Here is a 22,641-nt window from a genome sequence, read left to right as displayed (position 1 = left end):
GCCCAGCTACGACCCAACAGGGGAATTTGTAAGCATGGCCCTAATTTTAAATAGTCTTTAAATATGAAGGTAGTTAACAAGGAAAGATGGAGAGTGGCCTTGGGTAGGGGGAGGATGGAGGAGTGGGTAAAACCACTGTGTGGTATGGAACTCTGCAAAGATTGTTGTTGAACTGCAAGAGAGACTGATATTGTGATCCATTGCAAATTCCAAAGTTTTCTAGTTGTTTGAGTGACTGGGGAGAGATGAGGTGTTGTAGTGTTTTTGTAATTTGTTTTTCTTATTGGTCCGGTTACTGGTGTTTCACAGTCTGTCAAACCATATGGATGAATGGAGCTAGCATCGTAAAACTGTCACTGAGGGAAGGTTTTTGAAGCCTGTGATTTGCATTAGAGTTTTAAAAGCAGTGGTTAGGAGGTGTTGGTGGGGCAGAGGGAAGAGGAGCAGACTGGAGAATTTCTAGGCTGTGTGTTTGTGAATATTAGTGTGGCAGGCAGTGGCAAGGGAAGGGAGAGAATCCCTGAAGAGGTTACAATTTAGGGGCAATGTGTGGAAGCAGGGAGGGGTGAGAGGATTAGGTTCAGAGCTCCTAATAATGGGGTTCAAATAGCCCGCATTGAGTCCTCACCAGCCAGGCCTCAGTTCTGAGCCTGCGGAACAATGCTGGCACATGTCTAATCCCCACTTTGCACCCTCTCCTCCCTCTCTGAATCTGGGGACTGTGATCATCTCAGGTTGCTGATAAAAGGTTTTTTTTTAGTTGTTGTTATTCACCTTGAAAATCTGCTGTTTGAATGATCTGCACTTGGAAGCTCCACCAGAAAGTTTTTCCCATCCTCACACTTTCACCTGCTATTGATGAAACCCGTCTCAACCTCTTTTCCTCTTCCATGTTCATTTCTCACCAGTGGCTGATTTTTTGTAGCCTTAGTGACTTCAGAGTAATGGAGGAGAAAAAGCTCTGGGAGAGGAATCCCAAGCCTTGAGCTCCGCTTCCAGAGCTACAGGCAACTAGCTTGTGATCTGGGACACAGAACTTTGAGCCGCATATTCCTTGTCTTTATGATGGTGATGTACTTTGATTCCCCAAATTCCTTTCAAGCCAACAACTTTCTGGCTCTTATTATGGTGGATTAGGACAGAGAGGACAGCTAGGGGCCAGAGTTCTGATTTTTTCTTATTTTTAAAGTGTGGCTCTAAAGAGAACATTTAAGACTGGAGACTTCCACAGTTTCTTATTCTCTGATTCAGTCTTGCTACATGGTGCTCCCTTCTTGGGGTTCTAAGCTGGGTGGAACTTCCTATCCCTTCTCAAGGTCTGAGGCTGAGGACCAGGTGGTGGGCCATTTAGAATGTGGGCTTTTCCTCTGGCTCTTCCTTTTCAGTGATTTTCTTCTCACTAGCATCCCATCCAGAAGCTGATGAGAATGAGGAACTTGAAGACCAATTGGCCTATTTTGACGTGGATAAGCACTCAGTTTTTGGTGGTTAAAAGACTGGAATCACTGAGAACATCTGTATTTTGCTTCCTTTTGTGTGTGTGTGTGTGTGTGTGTGTGTGTGTGTGTGTGTGTGTGTTTGGAGGCAGAAGGGTAACCAATTTTCCAGCCAGTCCTCCGGTCTGGACTTTATTTGTCCATGATCTCTCTGGCCTTCTCCTCTACCATGGCACCTATCCCAATTAATCTGAAAATAAAGTGCTTATTTTATTTTAATTTGGGCAGCCACAGATACCTGGATGTTTAGTGAGCTGAAGTAAGTGGACCTGTACTGATGTCTCACTGAGCTTCCTCTAGCATACCTGTGTTACTGCTGAGGAAATGGAGGTGCCCAGCAGTTGTGTGGAACTAGCCCCTACCTGAGTGGGTATTAGCCAAGACTAGACTGGACTTCATGCCTCCCCTTCAGTGACATGTCTCCAGAACATCTCAGATTTCAGTGGGGACATTATTATCAGGCTTTTCTTTGGTGGAAAGCTTCCATGGCAGTTTTTTTGCAAGCATAAAGAGAAGGGGGAGGAGGTTGCAGAACTCATCAGAGTCTACACAGGAGCTGGTGTGTAAATTCTGAGACTTTAAAGAGAAAACAAAATGGTCACCCTGACCTCCAGCAGAGAGAGGCATTCCCTCAATTTTTCTTTATTGTGCTAAAATATACATAACACACAGTGTACCATTTTAGCCATTTTAAAGTGTGCATTTCAGTGGCATTAAGTACATTTATTTCTAATCTTTAGTAGAGATGGAGGTCTTGCTATGTTGCTCAGACTGGTCTTGAAATCATGGCCCCAAGGGATCCTCCCACCTTGTGCAACCATCACCACCATCAGTTTCCAGACCCTTTTCTTTCTTTCTTTTTTTAGATGGAGTCTCGCTCTGTCACCCAGGCTGGAGTGCAGTGACGCGATCTTGGCTCACTGCAACCTCCGCCTCCCAGGTTCAAGTGATTCTCTTGTCTCAGTCTCCCGAGTAGCTGGGACTGTAGGCATGCGCCATTACACCTGGCTAATTTTTGTATTTTTAGTAGAGACAGCATTTCACCATGTTGGCCAGGCTCGTCTCGAACTCCTGACCTCAGATGATCCACCCGCCTCAGCTTCCCAAAGTGCTGGGATTATAGGCATGAGCCACCGTGCCCAGCTGCCCAGACCCTTTTCATCATCCCGGAGAGAAACTTTGTATGCATTAAACAATACTTTTCCATCCCCTGCTTCCTACCATCCCTGGGAACCACCATTCTGCATTCTTAGCACCCCATATCAGGGGAAACATACAATATTTGTTCTTCTGTGTCTGGCTTATTTCACTTAGCATAATGTCTTCAATGTTTGTTCATCCATGTTGTAGCATAGTCAGAACTTGATTCCTTTCTATGGCCATTGTATGGATAGCCCACTTTTTGTTTACCTGTTTAACTGCCGATGGGCATTTGGGTTGTTTCACCTTTTGGCTGTTTTTGAGTCCCCATTTTCATTTCTTTTGGGTTTTCACTATGCCTAGGTCTCCTTCATTTTTGGACTGTAAAATCTAGGGACTAAGCTAGGCTCATGCCTGTAATCTTAGCACTTTGGGAGGCTGAGGCAGGAGGATCCCTTGAGCTCAGGCATTCAAGACCAGCCTGGACATATCATGAGACCCTGTCGCTACAAAAAATAAAAAAAAAAGCCGGGTGTGGTGGTGTACACCTGTGGTCCTAGCTACTCGGGAGGCTAAGGCAGGAAGATGGCTTGAGCCCGGGAGGTTGAGGCTGCAGTGAGCTGTGATCACGCTACTGTACTCCATGTACTCCAGCCTGGGTGACAGAGCAAGACCTTATCTCAAAAAACAAACAAACAAACAAACAAACAAACAAACAAACAAACCCAAAAAATTAGCGGCTACATTTCTAGATAATATAGGCATTCTCCACCTTATAAACTAAACAAACAAAAAAACCCAAACCTAATAGTATTACAGAATTCAACCTCTCTGCCTCTCCCTCTATTGGTAGTCCATTGCGTTCTGGGATAAACACACTGGGAACTAGGAACCCAGAGACTCAATTCTCCCATCCCCAGCCACAGGGATTGCCTTCCCCTCATATCCCCCTTCCTGTTTTTTTTTTTTGAGACGGAGTCTCGCTCTGTCGCCCAGGCTGGAGTGCAGTGTCGCGATCTCGGCTCACTGCAAGCTCCACCTCCCGGGTTCACGCCATTCCCCATTCCCCGGGCTCAGCCTCCCGAGTAGCTGGGACTGCAGGCGCCCGCCTTACGCCCGGCTAATATATATATATATATATATATATATATATAGTATTTTTAGTAGAGACGGGGTTTCACCGTGTTAGCCAGGACGGTCTCGATCTCCTGACCTCGTGATCCGCCCGCCTCGGCCTCCCAAAGTGCTGGGATTACAGGCGTGAGCCACCGTGCCCAGCCTATATCCCCCTTCCTTTGAGGGCAGGGACTCCTCGTGGGGGTCAGGGTTTGGGTTTGAGGCAGTTCCAGGGGCTGTAGCACTAGCAGTTACCTGGTGAGGCTTGGAGTGAAGGCTTCCTAGGTGGATGGAGATGTGATGTCTGACAACAGGAGGTGGGTGGAAGCACGGTGATGACAGGATAGCTTGGGGGGCAGGAGTTAGCAAGTCAGGCCTGTCCTTCCAAACAGCCAGGAGAGCTTGTGTCTCCCTTCTCCTCCCTTCCCCTTCCTCCAGCCTGGCTTCCCCGCAGCGGCCCACATGAAATAATGGATGTGGAAACATTTCAGAAGGTGGAAAGTGCAAATGTGAGGTGTTACTATGAGAACTAAAAGTTTCCTGTAGCTGATCATGGCCTCCTCAGGCAGTCAATAATACCTACTATATTAAACATTATTTTAAATATTAAAACAAAAATAAATGTTTCTGGCATTACCCATCACATCTAATCATTGTTTCTCAGGAAATGCAAGGTCTACTCATCCAGGCTGTGTAAATAGCCCTGGGATCTCAGTGGGATTTTCCTATTGTCTGGGTTTGAAATAAGTGAGAATGTGAGCTCAGGGGAAACCCTCATTTCATTTCCGGTCATAGCCCTGACCTGAGTTCACCCACCAAACCAGAGGAAGCAGAAGCGCGGTTGGTAGAGTGGGGTGCTCTTCTGGGAACTTGGGCCTTTGGTCCTTGCCTGGTCTCTGGCTCCTCCTTCAACTGAGATGACTGAGGGAGAGAGAAGAAGTGGAGGCGGGGCAGGGGCTTAGATCTGCTTGTGAATAAGGAGAGTGAGCTGTTGGCATTGGAGGTCAGTGGCAAGAATGGATTCTTTTTCTTTTTCTTTTTTTTTTTTTTTTGAGACAGAGTCTCACTCTGTCGCCTAGGCTGGAGTGCAGTGGCGTGATCTTGGCTCACTGCAACCTCTGCCTCCCACGTTCAAGTGATCTTGTACTTCAGACACAGGAGTAGCTGATATTAAAGGCACATGCCACCACACCCAGCTAATTTTTGTATTTTCAGTAGAGATCGGGTTTTATCATGTTGGCCAGGCTGGTCTCGATCTCCTGACCTCAAGTGATCTGCCCACCTGGGCCTCCCCACGTGCTGGGATTACAGGCGTAAGCCACCATGCCAGGCCAGATTCTTTATAGAAAAGTAGACCAGAGAGCATTGCGGTGGGGTCAGATCTCAGAGTTACATGCATGTCTTGGTTGCCAGCCTTGGAAGTGGTTCAGATTCAGTCTTGCTGCAAAGCTACAACTTTCTTTATTTTCTTTTCTCATATATTTTTTGGAGATAGGGTCTCACTCTCACCCAGGCTGGAGTGCAGTAGTGCGATCACTCTGTCACCCAGGCTGGAGTGCAGTGGTGCCATCACAGCTCACTGTGGCCTCAAACTCCTTGACTCAAGTGATCTCCCACCTCAGCTTCCCAAGTAGCTGGGACTACAGGTGCGTACTGCCACACTTAATTTTTAATTTTTTTATAGAGATGGGGGTCTCACTGTGCTGCCCAGGCTGGTCTTGAACTTCTGGCCTCAAGTGATCCTCTTACCTCAGCTTCCCAAAATGCTGGGATTGCAGGTGAAAACCACTGCACTTACTTGGCCCTGCAACTTTCCTTTACAAGAGCAAATGAAGCAAAAAACATCATCCCTACTCCTGCTGTCCTCAACCAGCAACTCTCGATACATCTTTGGCTGCCAGTTGAGCACAACGAGAACTCTCTCATCCTCTTTGGAGTTCCTTCATCCCACAACCAACATGGATTGCCTGCCTGCCCCTGAGAACTAATCAGCACAGCCACCTGACTCCCTCCCTACATCGAGGAGCTTCCACTCCAATAGAGACTTCTGATCTGTCTGTTTCTTCTCCTAGACCCTTGTTTTTTGGCAGGGCAAAGTAAGTGCTAGCAAACCAGGAGGCTGACTGCTGCCCTCGGCTTTTCCTAGGAAAACCACTATAGGTGAGGGGAGTGGGGAGAGGGGCGGCAACGCGGTGCTGGTGATAGGGGGAGGGCAGGGTGGATGGGGCAGTGGGAGGGGAGAGAATATATTCTCTCCTGCTAATTATTTTCCCTGAGGACTTAGCCAATGCAGAACCATCTATTATCGTGGGAGCGCTCTATGGTAGTTCTGCCTGTGATGAATGCTAAGTGGAAACAAGCAAGAAAAATTAACAGGCGGCTGCTTCTGTCCACCTAATTAAAATGCATATCCAAATGCATAATTCCTTATGTTTCCCCATGCACACACTCCCCTTCCAATCCCAGTTCTATGGAGGAGAAAAAAACACTTTCCCCCAATCATTTCTCTTGATTATATTTTCATCAAGGAAGAACTGGAGGGTTTCCCCTTAGAATAGAGAAGGGCCTGTTCTTCTAACACTTCTGAAATAGCTGGCTTTTGACTTAGATTGAGCCCCAAAATTTGGAGCTCTTTTTCATTTTACACACAAAAACTAGCTGCAGAAAAAAGGGAGAAGGAAAGAAGTAAAGAAAGAAAAAAGAGTTCCCACCATTTCTGCTGACCTTTTAGTTTTGTGTTAAAAGTCTGGCTTTGATCAGCAATGACAATTTTGAGGATCTTTTCTGTCTTTTCTTCCTCTTCATTACTTTCCCTGACTCTGCACTGCCTTCCCTGGTCCCTCAGATAAACATAACCCAAGTTTTGTAGAGAGATTTTAGAAGACGAAGACACAGCTACCTTTGCAGATCAAGTAGAAAGAAAAAAAACCCAAAGCTTCGGCCTTTGGGGGCGATATCAGAGGTTCCAACGTCACAGTCCTAAGTATGTTTTGAATCAGACAATACCTCTTCATCCTTATCTTCCCCCCCTTCACTTACCCAGCTCATCATTTTCTCCCTCTCCAAAGAATAACTTTATTCAGTGGTCATAAAATATTTAATAAAACATGAAACTTAAGTCACTGTGTTCAATTTGCCATCACAGCCATCTCAGTGGCAGACCCCCTTCCCCCAGCTGGCCCACCCCCTCCTGAAGCCCCTTGCCTGCCCTCCACAGCAGCCCCAGCTGTTGATTTATCAGGGCTGGCCGGCTCAGCAGTGCATGGAGATTGCTTTTAATTAACTCTCTTCATTTTTCCCAATCTTCAGGGAGCAGCAGCCCTTTAATGATTTTAATATTTTATTTGGATTTATATCTGCCTTATTTGTTGTTTGACATCCGCATTTGTTCTTCCTGAATCACCTCCAGACTGATATATTTATTTGCCCCTTTTCCTCCTACCCCCAAGACCTTTCAAGGGAAGGGACGGTGGATTCCGAAGAAGGCCGTCTTCCCAGGCTTCCCACTATCGACACAGGGAGAATACCCAGTGTTGGCCTTATGTGATGGTTTGGACTGGAAACTTTGTCTTGGGAAACCCAGTCTCACCTGCCTCTTAGCTTAAGGAGTTTCTGAGCTTTGTGTTAAAAACAACAACAACAGCAACAACAACAACAACAACAACAACAACAACAACAACAACAGCTCTGAATTTTAGAGAATGAGATCTCTTTGCCTCTTTCATGCCTCTGTAAGGGAGTGAGTTGCCTTGGAGAGTTGGTTAAAAACTGCTTCCCCAGTTTCACTGTTAGAAGTAGTTTGAGGTCTATCATCCTGCTCACCCCAGCCTTCCATAGTTCAGTGGGGTTTTTGGAGCTGCAGGAGGATGATGGCTTTAGGGAAGGACTGGATGTACGTTCAGTCAAGTCTTCCTGCTGCTTTATGCGTCTTTAGGTGTGGGTGGCATCTGTTAAGCAACTTCTTGGAAGAGTAACCATAGGTACAATCTGAAAGAGGAAGTGAAGAGGCACCAATTGCCTTCTCTACTGGAGGCTGCCTTCTCCACTGGAGGCTGCCTTCTCCTTTAACCCTCAGTTCCCCTTCTCATGCCTATTCCCTAGAGGTGGGAAAACATACAACCAGCAGAACACTTTCCAGCTGGGTGCAATGGCTCATACTTGTAATCCCAGCACTTTTGGAGGCCTAGGTGGGCAGGTCGCTTGAGCCCAGGAGTTCGAGCCAGCCTGGGCAACAGGGCAAAATCCCATAGAAAAACTAGTTGGGTGTGGTGGCACGCGCCTTTAGTCACAGTTATTTGGGAGGCTAAGGTGGGAGGATCACCCGAGCCCAAGAGGTTGAGGCTGCAGTGAGCCGTGTTTGTGTCACTGCACTCCAGCCTGGGCAACAGAGTGAGACCGTGTCTGAAAAAACAAAAAACAATGCCTTTCTATCTTTCTCCTCTCAGCCTACCTTTGGCTGCAAAGTCTACTCCTTACCCCAACAGCCCCAGGGAGGCCTGACAAATAGACTTATGAGGGGCTGGTTTCAGAACTAGCTTGTCCACAAAATGCCCTTTTTGGCATCTGGGTTTGGTGATGTGTCTTCAGGGTTACTCGTTGCTAGGCAACTGCCAACTAAAGTTTGAGCCTGATCTGGCGATTGCAGTGAATTGCTCTGGGTGACTTGAATCCACATTTAGGGACTCCAATATGCAATATTGGCTCCAGGAACAGGAGGCTGAGAAGACACTCTTCCATGTGGCTTTATGGAAAGAGATACTGGTTTTTAAAGTCTAGCCCAGAGCCTGGCACACAGTCAGTACACACAGGTATTTGTTTTGGTGATGCCAATGGTAATTTCTTTCCATCTGCTTATACTGGAATGCTCTTCTCATCCCTTTAGTTCTGCTAGTTCTGAAAACTTACTATGTCTGTTACTGAGCCATATGCAGGAGACAGACAGGGAGAAACTGGATTCTATACCACAGTCTAGTGTGCAGGCTACTCAGTCTTGATGGGTGTTTCTTTTTCACCTTTCTTTGGCAATCACAGGCCCTTTCAAGAATCCTATGAAAGTTGTGGATCATCTCCCCGGAAAACACGCATATAGATGTGAACATCTGCCTATGGTTTTATGGGGTTCACAGACCTGGAAGAGCCCATCTCTGGATGCCCTGGAGGCCCATGGGCTCTAGGGTAAGAACCTCAGTGTGAGAGACGTGTGTGAACTTGTTAGTCTGAGGGGATGCTCTGTGTCCCTGCCCAGAGAGACGACTCTTGTCACACATTCCCCTGGTGTCTGAGCAAACTGCTTGTGGCTCCTCTGGGCAGGCGGTTTCCTCTGGGCAGGCGGTTTGATTGTCCTCCACCTCCACCCTGTCCCTGGGCGCACTTGATGCACATCTGTCATCTTCTGGATGGTTTAAGTGGTCCCTCTCCCTGGTGGAGCCCTTGCTGACCCTCAGGTAGAACTGGCCACACCTGCCCTGGGCCATGCAGAGCTGAACATACTCTTCTCTCTCAGTCACTGAAATAATTGACAGGAGTTAGTTAGCAGTAAGGGCGTGGAAGGCAGGGACAGTAGCCACATATGCCTTTCTTTTCTTTTTTTTTTTTTTTTGGAGATGGAATCTCTCTCTGTCTCACCCAGGCTGGAGTGCAGTGGTGCGGCTCACTGCAACCTCCACCTCCTGGGTTCAAGCGATTCTCCTATCTCGGCCTCCTGAGTAGCTGGGACAATAGGTGCACACCACCATACCCAGCTAATTTTGTATTTTTAGTAGAGATGGCGTTTCACCATGTTGGCCAGGCTGGTCTCAAACTCCTGACTTCCAGTGATCCACCCGCCTCGGCCTCCCAAAGTGCTGGGATTACAGGCATGAGCCACCAAGCCTGGCCACATGTGCCTTTCTGTCCCAAGGACCTAGCCTAGCAGGCACGTAGGAAACGTGTGGGGAATAGTTGAGTGAGCGAAGCCTGCAGGCAGATACCCTGCTCTGCTGCCCAAGTTTGCTTTTAGCACTCTAGAAAGTTGACATGTTTCTCATTCTCTGCCTTCACGGCAGGAATCTGAAAAAGGCAGAATTCCTCCCCAAAGAGCCTTCAGTTTCAGGAGTTGGGAAACAGATGCAGGTTTGGCCTTGCTTGCATGTAGGATGTGCATTTATGACATGTGGCAGCCTCGCTCATTCTAGCCTCTTGTTTCTTGGTCACTTTAAAAAGCTTGGCTTTCTCCCTTTGGTCTTGAGAAATAAAGACAAACCTTTTTGCTTTGCTTTCTTTCAGGGGAGTAAGTAACCTCTGGCTTATGGATAGCCACTGATAAATCAACTTCATTTTTATTCAGTGCCTCCTCTATGCTTAGCTGTGTGTGGGATTTCCTTTAGCTTTATTTATACTGGAGGATTCTTTTTTCTTTTGAGTTTTTAAGATAGAGAAGACCAGAAGATGCAAAGCACTGTAATGGTTTAAACCCAAGGCTGGGTTCTGGTGAACATCTGCTGTCTGTTCCATGGAGCTTTAGTCCAGTCACTGTTTTTGGATACATCTTCTTTGAGAGAATGCCTTTTGTATACTTTCACAGTATCAATGCCTAGAGAGAGAATGATTTTCCCTACGACTCTGTGTCCCAACCAAGTATAGCAGATCACTTCATTCATCCTTCAAAAAGGATGGCCTAGGGCTCAAGTGAGGGCCTTTCTCTCTTGTATTGAGAGAGATAGAGATACCAGCGTATCATTATAACTTTTGTATGTCCTCCAAATAATTCTGTGTTGGGGGCTTTTTGGAAGAGGGTACCACCAGAAAGAGGCCTGAAGGAGGAAGAGGAAGTCCCAAGGTGGACACGGACTCCCAGGGTCAAGTTTCAGTTCAGATCCTGGTCTGAAAGACATCCTTCAACATGGAAAGCCAGAGAAAATGCTGATGGTGTGCCAAATATGGGCTGCAGGAGCCGAATTGTAGAAAAATATTCGTTAACTCAGAGAGGTCATATTGCACTAGCAACCTACTCACAAAGGTAAGTCTCCCTCAATCCCAGTTCAGGACAGAGGGTGACACAGGGCTGTCCGGTTCCTGGCACTCATTTTCTTTCTGGGCAGCCATCTGAGTATAACAGATACTTATACATATTCTGTCCTCATTTTATCTAATTACACATGTCTCTGGGGGATGGGAAACAGGTTCGGACCATTCAATTTTAGGTCACTTATGCACAGGGTAGCAGGGATGAACGCTAATCTATAGTTTTATGAGATTTAGGAAGTTCTCATAGTTCCTCAGTCCAGAGCACACCAGGGGGACATTGTTTGTCATCTCAGGGGCTGAAGATCCCAGCGAGTGTCAGAGGAGAGATGGAGGCTGCCTGGCTTGTGAGTCTGAATTCTGAAACCTTTTTGAGACCTTGCTAGCTCTTGCTATCCTTGCAGCAGTAGGATGCTTGTTTTATTATTTTATAATCTGCTGAATGAAGAGGACCCAATACTATCAGTCCCCATCCTGCTGGTCATTTGTTCTCATCCCTTTCCTGCTTGGAATGTGTTGATTCCCTGAGAAATGCAGAACAAAAGGCGCTCCTGCTCCCAAATGATGGAATAATCTTTATTGCCCAACATTGTCCTGGGTGTGTGCCTCCTTTGCTGCCCAGAGGAACTGGTCTGGATAGTATAAAAGCTCCACAGCATCTCCACCTCTCTCCAAAACTCAGAGCCGGCAGCCCTGGACAGCCCACTCTCCTCCAGGCTCTACTGTAGCTTTTCAAATCCTTGGGAAGAAAAAGCCCGCTGGAAAGCCTTTCCTTTTTCTTTTGCTTTCTGCTGCTTATTTCATTTCTTGACTAAGAGCTAAGCTGCCCCAAGGCCCTCAGAGCCCTGAGTTTGCACCTCCAGCCTAGGTTTCCTTCTGATCCCTGTCCCCTCCTTCATTCACTATTTACGTCTTTCTCCTTTCCTCCATGAATTGCACCTTGATCAAAAAGCACTGAAGGGGCACAAAGGAAGGAAAGAGTATTCTGGCTTTGTCCCCAAGGAGGGCCCACTCAATCTCATGAATATGGGAGTGGGGAGAGGGAAGGAGGAAAAGGACAAAGCTTACAGGCAGCAGAGCATGCATTCCTGAGAGAAGCTGCTTCACGTGAGGTTCCAGGTGGTGAATAGCTGCGCTAAACGATCAGCCTAGGCCACCAGGGGTCCTTGAAATTGGAAGACAGACAGCAGTTCCTGTGGCTGGGATGACAGAGGATGCTTCAGAGAGGAGCTGAGTTCAGAAGGACAGTGGGGTCTGGTTAGGCTCGGGAGGGTGAGGCTGGGGAACTTTAGTCACCAAAGGGAAGTGAACAAAGACGTGAGGCGTTTGAGCGATTCCTTTGGGGACACCCTTCCTTTCTGAGGGAAGGAAGGCCAGATGGGAAGGACTGCATGGAGGAGAGCACACAGATCTGTTTGGCTGGTTGGGAGTAGGTGGGGGGTGTCCGTGAACAGAAGGGAAAAATGAGAAATAAGCCTGGGCCAGGTTGGTCTGAGCAGAGTCCCGGTTTGGCAGTCACTGTTTGGGGAGACTCATACTCCTCATCGTCCAAAAGAGAGGCTCCAGGGGGAGGGTGGGGTGGTCATCCTGTGTCCTCCAGCAAGGGGGATTGTCTGTCTCCAGTCTTCCCTCTCACTAAGGGGTTGAACTGGACCCCGTCCTTGGTTTCATTTGTTATGCATTTTGGATACTTTCCAGGGGACCACCCAGAGGGGTGGGGTGAGGGAGACACCCTGTGGGGCCCACACTGGTGTGAGCCATCAATCCTGTCAGCTACAGGCCAGCTCTGTCCAGCTGCAAGGGCCGATTTGCAACGCTGGGCAGACTTGTGGGCAGAGCCCACCTGAGCAGTGGACCCAAATGACTTCTTCCCTTTCTGTACTTTAATCCTCCTTCTCCTCCTTCTCTTCCTCCTCCTCCTCTTCTTCTTCTTCTTCAACAACAACCAATAAATGATGTAAATAAAATATATAAATCCAATCCAAGGAGGAAAATGTAAATGCCAACCTGTGTAGCTTAAAGCATGGTGCCCTGAGGATTAGTTTCATGATTCAAATAGGGGAGAGTGAGGCTGCAGGTCTCTAAGACAGTGGGTTTCCTCCTAGGGGGATCGGGGTGGTTTATTCTGATGGTAGTGCTGCCTGGTTCCCACCCAGACACCCCTGCCACTGCTGCAGCTGTCTACCTGTGTGCTGGCCACTTCCTTCCAGAAATGCCCTGGGCCTAGTTTTCACGGGGAGGCTGGGGGTTACACAAGTCCTTAGGGTTCGTTCCTTGCATACTTTGTAAGCTTTGCACACTTTGTAAGCTCAGACACTCCATGGTGGGGAGCAGGAGGCTGGGAGCAGTTGCTGTGTGACCCACGGCTTGGGTGCAGCCTCTGGAGCCAGAGAGTTTGGGTTCAAGTTCAAGCCCTATGGCCTTGGGTAGGATTCCTAACATCTATGCCTTAGTTTCCTCATATGTAAAGTAGGACTAATAGTTTTTGTCTTTATGGGGTTGTTGGAAGAATTAAGCAAGTTAATGTATGTAAAGTGCTTAGTAGAGTCGGCACACAATATCCTTTTTTTGAGACAGGGTCTTGCCCTGTTGCCCAGGCTGGAATGCAGTGGCGCAATCATGGCTCACTGCAGCCTCGACCTCCCAGGCTCAAGCAATCCTCCCACCCCAGCTTCCCAAGTGGCTGGGACCACAGGTGTGCACCACCACACCCAGTTAATTTTTGTATTTTTAGTAGTGATATGGTTTGGCTGTGTCCTCACCCAAATCTCAACTTGCATTGATCTCCCAGAATTCCCATGTGTTGTGGGAGAGACCCATGGGGAGGTAATTGAATCATGGAGGCCAGTCTTTCCCATGCTATTTTTGTGATAGTGAATAAGTCTCACAAGATCTGGTGGGTTTATCAGGGGTTTCAGCTTTTGCTTCTTCCTCATTTTCTCTTGCTGCTGCCATATAAGAAGTGTCTTTCACTTCCTGCCATGATTCCGAGGCCTCCCCAGCCACGTGGAACTGTAAGTCCAATTAAAACTCTTTTTCTTCCCAGTCTCAGGTATGTCTTTATCAGCTGTGTGAAAATGGACTAATACAGTAATTGGTACCAATAGAGTGGGGCATTGCTGAAAAGATACCCGAAAATGTGGAAGTGACTTTGGAACTGGGCAACAGGCAGAGATTGGAACAGTTTGAAAGGCTCAGAAGCAGACGGGAAAATGTGGGAAAGTTTGGAACTTCCTAGAGACTTGTTGAATGGCTTTGCCCAAATGCTAATAGCGATATGGATAATAAAATCCAGGCTGAGGTTGTCTCAGATGGAGATGAGGAACTTGTAGAGAACTGGAGCAAAGGTGACTCTTGTTATGTTTTAGCGAAGAGACTGGCGGCATTTTGCCCCCTCCCCTAGAGACTCCCCTAGAGATTCGTGAAACTTTGAACTTGAGAGAGATGATTTAGGTTATCTGGTGGAATAAATTTCTTTCTTTTTCTTTTTTTTTTTTGGAGACGGAGTCTTGCTCTGTTGCCTAGGCTGGAGTGCAGTGTCAGGATCTTGGCTCACCACAACCTCTGCCTCCTGGGTTCAAGTGATTCTCCTGCCTTAGCCTTTCGAGTAGCTGGGACTATAGGTGTGCATCACCATGCCTGGCTAATTTTTTTGTATTTTTAATAGAGACGGGGTTTCACTATGTTGGCCAGGCTGGTCTTGAACTCCTGACCCCGTGATCTGCCCATCTTGGCCTCCCAAAGTGCTGGGATTATAGGTGTGAGCCACTCCACCTGGCTTGGTGGAAGAAATTTCTTTTTTTTTTTTTCTTATTGATTTCTGCTTTAATCTTTATAATGCTTCCTATCTCCTGCTTGTTTTAGGTTGAATTTGTACTTCTTTTTCTAGATTCTTTTTTTTTTTATCATACTTTAAGTTTTAGGGTACATGTGCACAACATGCAGGTTTGTTACATATATATACATGTGCCATGTTGGTGTGCTGCACCCATTAACTCGTCATTTAACATTAGGTATATCTCCTAATGCTATCCCTCCCCTTCCCCCCACCCCACAACAGGCCCCGGTGTGTGATGTTCCCCGTCCTGTGTCCATGTGTTCTCATTGTTCAGTTCCCACCTATGAGTGAGAACATGTGGTGTTTGGTTTTTTGTCCTTGTGATAGTTTGCTGAGAATGATGGTTTCCAGCTTCATCCATGTCCCTACAAGGGACATGAACTCATCATTTTTAATGGCTACATAGTATTCCATGGTGTATATGTGCCACATTTTCTTAATCCAGTCTATCATTGTTGGACATTTGGGTTGGTTCCAAGTCTTTGCTATTGTGAATAGTGCCGCAATAAACATACATGTGCGTGTGTCTTTATAGCAGCATGATTTATAACCCTTTGGGTATATACCCAGTAATGGGATGGCTGGGTCAAATGGTATTTCTAGTTCTAGATCCCTGAGGAATCGCCACACTGACTTCCACAATGGTTGAACTAGTTTACAGTCCCACCAACAGTGAGAAAATGTTCCTATTTCTCCACATCCTCTCCAGCACCTGTTGTTTCCTGACTTTTTAATGATCACCTTTCTAACTGGTGTGAGATGGTATCTCATTGTGGTTTTGATTTGCATTTCTCTGATGGCCAGTGATGATGAGCATTGTTTCATGTGTCTTTTGGCTGCATAAATATCTTCTTTTGAGAAGTGTCTGTTTATATCCTTCGCCCACTTGTTGATGGGGTTGTTTGTTTTTTTCTTGTAAATTTGTTTGAGTTCATTGTAGATTCTGGATATTAGCCCTTTGTCAGATGAGTAGATTGCAAAAATTTTCTCCCATTCTGTAGGTTGCCTGTTCACTCTGATGGTAGTTTCTTTTGCTGTGCAGAAGCTCTTTAGTTTATTTAGATCCCATTTGTCAATTTTGGCTTTTGTTGCCATTGCTTTTGGTGTTTTAGACATGAAGTCCTTGCCTATGCCTATGTCCTGAATGGTATTGCCTAGGTTTTCTTCTAGGGTTTTTATGGTTTTAGGTCTAACATTTAAATCTTTAATCCATCTTGAATTAATTTTAGTATAAGGTGTAAGGAAGGGCTCCAGTTTCATTTTTCTCCATATGGCTAGCCAGTTTTCCCAGCACCATTTATTAAATAGGGAATCCTTTCCCCATTGCTTGTTTTTGTCAGGTTTGTCAAAGATCAGATAGTTGTAGATATGCGGCATTATTTCTGAGGCCTCTGTTCTGTTCCATTGGTCTATATCTCTGTTTTGGTACCAGTACCATGCTGTTTTGGTTACTGTAGCCTTGTAGTATAGTTTGAAGTCAGGTAGCATGATGCCTCCAGCTTTGTTCTTTTGGCTTAGGATTGCCTTGGCAATGCGGGCTCTTTTTTGGTTCCATATGAACTTTAAAGTAGTTTTTTCCAATTCCGTGAAGAAAGTCATTGGTAGCTTGGTGGAAGAAATTTCTAAGCAGCAAAGCATTCAAGATGTGACTTGGGTGCTGTTAAAGGCATTCAGTTTTATAAGGGAAGCAGAGCATAAAAGTTTGGAAAATTTGCAGCCTGACTAGGTGATAGAAAAGAAAAACCTATTTTCTGGGGAGAAATTCAAGTCGGCTGCAGAAATTTGCATAAGTAGCAAGTATCCTAATGTTAATCCTCAAGACCCTGGGGAAAATGTCTCCAGGCCATGTCAGAGACCTTCACGGCAGCCCCTCCCATCACAGGCCTGGAGGCCCAGGAGGTAAAAGAAGTTTCGTGGGTGCCCAGGGTCTCCATGCTGTGTGCAGCCTAGGGACTTGGTGCCCTGTGTCCCAGATGCTCCAGGGGCCATCTGTGGCTGAAAGGGGCCAACATATAGCTCGGGCTGTGACTTCAGAGGGTGGAAGCCCCAAGCGTTGGCAGCTTCTATGTGGTGTTGAGCCTGAGGGTGCACAGGTATCTAGAACTGAGGTTTGGGATTTCCTTCTAGATTTCAGAAGATGTATGGAAACGCCTGGATGCCCTGGCAAAAGTTTGCTGCAGGGGCGGGGCCCTCAGGGAGAACCTCTGCTAGGGCAGTGCAGAAGGGAAATGTGGGGTTGGAGCCTCCATACAGAGTCCCTACTGGGGCACTGCCTAGTGGAGCTGTGAGAAGAGGGCCACCATCCTCCAGATTCCAGAATGGTAGATCCACTAGCAGCTTGCACCATGTGCCTGGAAAAGCTGCAGAGACTCAATGCCAGACTGTGAAAGTACGCAGGAGGGAGGCTGTACCCTGCAAAGTGGAGGTAGGGCCTGCCTCACCCTCCCAAAGTGCTGGGATTACAGGCATGAGCCACTGTGCCCAGCCTCATTACCATTTTAATGGGTGTTTGCAGGGGCGGAGCTGCCCAAGACCATGGGGACCCAGCTCTTGCATCAGCGTGACCTGGATGTGAGACCTGGAGTCAAAGGAGATTATTTTGAAGCTTTAATGTTTGACTGCCTTGCTGGATTTCAGACCTACCTGGGCGCTGTAAACCCTTTGTTGTGGCCAATTTCTCCCACTTGGAATTGCATACCTAGGAAGTAACTAGCTTGCTTTTGACTTTATAGAATATAGGCAGAAGGGACTTGCCTTGTCTCAGATGAGACTTTGGACTGTGGACTTTTGGGTTAATGCTGAAATGAATTAAGACTTTGGGGGACTTTTGGGAAGGCATGATTGGTTTTGAAATGTGAGGACATGATATTTGGAAGGGCCAAGGGCAGAATGATATGGTTTGGCTGTGTCCCCACGTAAATCTCAACTTGAATTGTATCTCCCAGAATTCCCACATGTTGTGGGAGGTACCCAGAGGGAGGTAATCGAATCATGGGGGCTGGTCTTTCCTGGGCTATTCTCGTGATAGTGAGTAAGTCTTACAAGATCTGACGGGTTTATCTGGGGTTTCTGCTTCTGCTTCTTCCTCATTTTCTCTTGCTGCCACCATGTAAGAAGTGCCTTTCACCTCCTGCCATGATTCTGAGGACTTTAAGTCCAATTAAACCTCTTTTTCTTCCCAGTCTTGGGTATGTCTTTATCAGCAGCATGAAAGTGGACTAATACAAATAGAGACAGGGTTTTGCCATGTTGCCCAGGCTGGTCCTGGACTCCTGGCCTCAAGCCATCCACCTGCCTCAGCCTCCCAAAGTGCTGGGATTATAGGCATGAGCCACTGTGCCCAGCCTCGTTACCCTTTTAATGGGTGTTTGCAGTGACCCTGTTTTTCCATCTGTAAAATGAGGAGACACACTAGCCAATATTTTCCTTACACTGGCATCTTTAAAAAAATGAAATGATAAGTAGGAGAAGCACTGGTTTTCCTAGAAGAAAGAAGTTCTAGAAATCTATGGCATTATTATTTTTATCAATTTATTGTTTTACTCATAGAACAAATGTGTTAAAGAGTCTTCAAGAAAGATTTATCTATGGCATGCTTTGTCCAGGAGCACAGCTTATTGCATACTATTTAATTGGTGCTGATATTGGGTCCTTCTGAGAAAGAACAAGAAGTTCACAGATGTAGAAACACAGCACACAGAGGTGAAGTGTCTCTGTAAGGTGACTGGACTCAGCCCACAATTCCATTCATGGCTACCTCCTCTAAGGGGAAGGAGACTACTTCTTTCCTGGATGAGCTCTGCCCTTTCCACAGCTAGAAGAGGGCTTGGAAGTCCTTTAGACCAAAGTGGCTGAGGACTGAGAGTTTGTCCTCCAAGTTGGCCTGACACACTGTTGTCAGGGTGGTAGGTAACAGGCACCTTGCTCATCTGTGACCTTCTTGTGCTGGTTGGTGTGTATGTGAGTTCCCAGCACATGCTTTTTGGTAGGCAGGGATCTGTGCTTGACAAGCTGGCATTCCAAACTCCAGATCTTCCAAACACCAGGCCCCTATGTTATTTTTAACTGTCCAAAGTTTTTTCCATGTGTTGTAATTGATGGGACTCAATAGCCGAGTCAGAGAATCTAAACTTCAGCCTATTTTGCATCCCTTGAATGGGCATGGGTCTGATAACCAAGCAGAAAAACACCCTGTTTTCTGAACTGACTGCTCTGAATCTTCCTGCTCACCCTACCCCCCATCATCTCTAGGGAAAAAAAAGCAAGCTCAAAGATAACATGGGTATGCCTGTTTCTGTGGCTCCAGATAGGAGGGAGGAAGATCGTTTCTGTCTGTGACCTTCTCTTCCCCACCTCTCTCTCTGAGTCCTGATAGTGAGGGACTAAGCTACATTTTCAGGAGATAACAAGAAGGGGATTGAGGAGGTTGGCACTCTCTCTCTCCCAGCCCTCTTTTTCCGTCCCCACATTCCCCAGGAGGTAAGCCACCTTCTCATTGTCCTCTGGGGACAGTCCCAGAGAGATGCTCTTACTGGGAAGAGCCTGAGATCTTGTGGCATCCAGTGACGCCATCCGTGTGACAGTCGAGAAGATTTTCAGTGGCCATGACCAGGAGAAGCACACCGTCTCACACTGGCCTGTCATTTGCATTATGAATTTTTCAAGCATGCGTCTCACTTTTTTTCTTCATCCATGTCTCCCCAGACCACAGTGCACTGGGCATTTATGTTGTATTATTGAACACATACAATGTACTAGCTACTGTGACCCTGGGTACATGATGGTGAGCCAAACCAACACAGACCCTATCTTTATGAAGCTTATGGTCCACTTGGGAAGACAGATGTTAATCATATAATCACACAAATATGTAAGTAAATGTGGGATCAGTGTTAAGTTGGAAAGTCCAGGAAGATAGAAGAGTATAGTAGGGGGACCTTTTCTGGTCTAGGGCATTGAGGGAAAATTTCCTTGAAGAGGAAACATTTGATCCCAGCAGAGGGAATAGCATGTGCCAAGGTCCTGTGCATGTTGGGGGACCCATGGAAGGCCACTGTGGCTGCAGCACTGGAGAGGGATGAGATGGTAAGAGAGGTCAGGAGAGGCCTGGTCATGAAGGGCCTTGATGGAGAAGTTTGAGGGCTGTGTACTTTATCCTAAGGGCAGTAAGCAGCCATGGAAGGATTGAAGTTAGGAAAGGGACTTGATCCAGTACACTTTCTAAAAGTTCCCCTGGCCATGGGGAGATTTAGTGATGGAGCCCGGGAAGGTCAGGATGAGTGGGTTTTGGGGAAGCTTGTCTGGGTAAAATTTAGAAAATAAAAATGAGATAGGAGCATATGCAGGAAGGACAAGGTATTAGCTGGAGAAGGCTTTGATGATGGTGCTTTCCCTTTAACTGCCTCGCTCCTTCCTGTCATTCTGATGGACACTCCCTGCCTGCTCCTTGGAGGTTTTCCATGCTATAGGTAGATTGTTTTCCTCCCAGGTAGCACTGAGCAGTTTGCCTCCCTCTGCTTTTCCTTTGGTTTTCTCAAGGTGTCCTCTGAGGACTACCTACAGGAGGGGCACCTGTGTGACTGATGGAAAGGTAGATTCCTGGGCCTCCTCCGCTGGAGCCACTGAATCAAAATCCCTAGGGGTGAGGCCATGCAATCGGATTTTCATGTCCTGGAAAGTTTCAGCACCATTGTTCCTCCCAGCCCTGCATATGCAACAACAAAGGGATGCTTTAAATGTGTGTGGGAGTGGTTATAACCGGAACAAGTGCTTTTGAGGCAAGGTGGTCTCCTTTAGGCCCCTCAAAAATGCAATTGAGGAGACTAGGGCTCTGGGAACTTGGGCATCCTAGTAGAGACCATTACAAAGTGATGGAGTTGGTGGGAGGAGAGAGATGTCTGACTCCCAGGTACCCTTTGCCCTTCTTCCTTCATACCTCTTTCTCCAATGTGCAAGGTTAAAAAGGCATTGAATCTTACGATGTTCAGATGTAGTTCCTTTAAAAAAAGATCAGTACCTTTTTGAGGGCTCAAAAGATCCATATCTAGTTAGTACATGAAAGGGTGGAATCAGGTGAGTTTATTGCTGTTATTCTCACTTCTTCTGGCTGGGTGTGGTGGCTCAGTAATCCAGCACTTTGGGAGGCCGAGGCAGCCACATTGCTTGAGTCCAGGAGTTCAAGATCAGCCTGGGCAACATGGTGAAATGCCGTCTCCAGAAAAAAATACAAAAAAATAGCCAGGCATGGTGACACACACCTGTGGTCCCAGCTACACAGGAGGCCGAGGTGGGAGGATCCCTTGAGCCTGGGAGGTAGAGGTTGCAGTGAGCCGAGATTGTGCCACTGCACTCCAGCCTGGGTAACAGAGTGAGAATCTCCCAATAAAACAAAAAACAAAAAACAAACTTATTGTGGAAGATATCAAGCTTATACAACAGTAGAAAGAATAGTATAAAGAACCCCCAAGTATCCATCCCCCAACTTTGATAGTCATGGAGGGCGGGGCATCTCTTCAATTGTTCAGACTTTGCAGTGTGATGCTCTTGTTTTTATGTCTATTGAATGAAACACCTTAGAGGAGAATGGGCAGAGGGAACAGAGAAGCTTTCAGAGTACCCCAACCATCTATCGGCCAGAGAGGGAGAAGGTTCTTTTGACCCCTCTGCCCCTCAACAGTACAGCTCATAGGAGAGCTAGTGCTTGGAATAATAGATCTAGGAACCACCTTAGAGACCATGGAAGGGGGTTCTTCCTCACTATCTAGACGTGACACCAGAGGCCTGGATGGCCTGGGATAGTCCTCAGGCCTCACAGTTAAAAAAAGGTGGGGCCAGGCCTGGGATCAGGTTCTCCATACAGTGCAACTCATCTCCCTTACTCATCATAGATGTGCTCAACATTTTTTGCTCGTATTTTCCAGTATGAAGCTGTAGGAGGCAGAACTCCTATAAAAAGCTGTTACACCTGTAATCCCAGCACTTTGGGAGACTGAGGTGGGAGGATTGTTGGAGCCCGGGAGTTTGAGAACAACCCGGACAACACAGTGAGACCCCATCTCTATAAAAATTATTTTATTAAAAATAAAAGCCGTCCTGTTGAAATACCAGTATTTGGGCACCTAGGCCTTTGCTTCCTCCTTGTAAGACCCTTGAGGTAGCCTGGAGATTTCGTGGTCTGGTTAGAAAAGAATACCCTTAGAAAATGAGTACCAGTGGGCTAGGCATGATGGCTCACTCCTATAATCCCAGCACTTTGGGAGGCCGAGTCGGGTGGATCACGAGTCGGATGGAGTTTCGCTCTTGTTGCCCAGGCTGGAGTGCAATGGTGCAAACTTCGCTCACTGCAACATCCACCTCCTGGGTTCAAGCGATTCTCCTGTCTCAGCCTCCCGAGTAGCTGGGATTACAGGCATGTGCCACCATGCCCAGCTAATTTTGTATTTTTAGTAGAGATGGGGTTTCTTCGTGTTGGTCAGGCTGGTTTCAAACTCCCAACCTCAGGTGATCCGCCCTCCTCGGCCTCCCAAAGTGCTGGGATTATAGGCGTGAGCCACCACACCCAGCCATATTAACTTTTTTATCGATGAGAAAACTCCAAGGAGTTGCCCAAGATTTGCCCAAGACTCCATGGCTGGTATCGATGGAGCAGAGGCGGGTACCTGAGCCTGTGCATTCGAATAAGCTTGGGTTCAGAAAGGAGCAGTGAGAACACCAGCCAGGTCACTGGGAGAGAGAAGCTGGACAGGTCACGAAGGACCTGATTATAAATACTTGGGCGAAAAGTTTGGCACTGATCCTGCAGGTGCTGGGGAGTTACTTAAGGTTTGGCACGATGAATGTTGAGGGTGATTAATTTGCAGGATGGCTTGTGCGTGGAGGCTGTGGCAGGAACAGACTGAGGTGACCTCAGTCTGTGGAAGAGGTGGTGGTGGGAATGTGCCTGGTAAAACCAAGTAATGAAAACCCTCATAGCCCATCAAACTAAATTACCATCAAATCAACAAGCCGGCAAGCCCATCTCATACAAAGTGGAGACAGAGCTTCCACATT

The 22,641-nt window shown here is 46.9% G+C and overlaps 1 protein-coding gene across 4 annotated transcripts in view, besides 3 other annotated features; it reads left to right on the top strand.

Annotated features, from left to right (window-relative positions):
* The window catches only part of DPF3 (double PHD fingers 3), a 285,068-nt gene that overhangs the window by 5,371 nt on the left and 257,056 nt on the right, over positions 1–22,641 (top strand). The window contains exon 2 of one of the 4 annotated variants that reach the window (NM_001280543.2): positions 8,784–8,927. The exons of the other annotated variants lie outside the window; for them this stretch is intronic. Coding sequence (NP_001267472.1) covers positions 8,866–8,927 — 62 coding nt within the window. The 5' untranslated portion in view covers positions 8,784–8,865. The remainder of the gene's footprint in view (positions 1–8,783; positions 8,928–22,641) is intronic. 4 annotated transcript variants of the gene reach the window in all.
* Positions 6,564–6,764: a silencer, noted in NCBI's record as "peak2194 fragment used in MPRA reporter construct". NCBI's record gives its function as "represses an SCP1 promoter by STARR-seq MPRAs in K562 erythroleukemia cells {active_cell/tissue: K562}" and the evidence as "EXISTENCE:reporter gene assay evidence [ECO:0000049][PMID:32103011]".
* Positions 11,638–12,338: an enhancer, noted in NCBI's record as "OCT4-NANOG-H3K4me1 hESC enhancer chr14:73343101-73343801 (GRCh37/hg19 assembly coordinates)". NCBI's record gives its function as "activates a minimal SCP1, AML or CMV promoter by ChIP-STARR-seq in naive H9 embryonic stem cells {active_cell/tissue: H9 hESC(naive)}" and the evidence as "EXISTENCE:reporter gene assay evidence [ECO:0000049][PMID:30033119]".
* Positions 12,339–13,040: an enhancer, noted in NCBI's record as "H3K4me1 hESC enhancer chr14:73342399-73343100 (GRCh37/hg19 assembly coordinates)". NCBI's record gives its function as "activates a minimal SCP1, AML or CMV promoter by ChIP-STARR-seq in naive H9 embryonic stem cells {active_cell/tissue: H9 hESC(naive)}" and the evidence as "EXISTENCE:reporter gene assay evidence [ECO:0000049][PMID:30033119]".

This window comes from Homo sapiens, chromosome 14 (genome assembly GCF_000001405.40).
Source record: "Homo sapiens chromosome 14, GRCh38.p14 Primary Assembly".
Taxonomy (NCBI): Eukaryota; Metazoa; Chordata; class Mammalia; order Primates; family Hominidae; genus Homo; species Homo sapiens.
The sequence above is the reverse complement of the archived record's forward strand: the minus strand, read 5'-3'. Positions and strand labels throughout refer to the sequence as shown.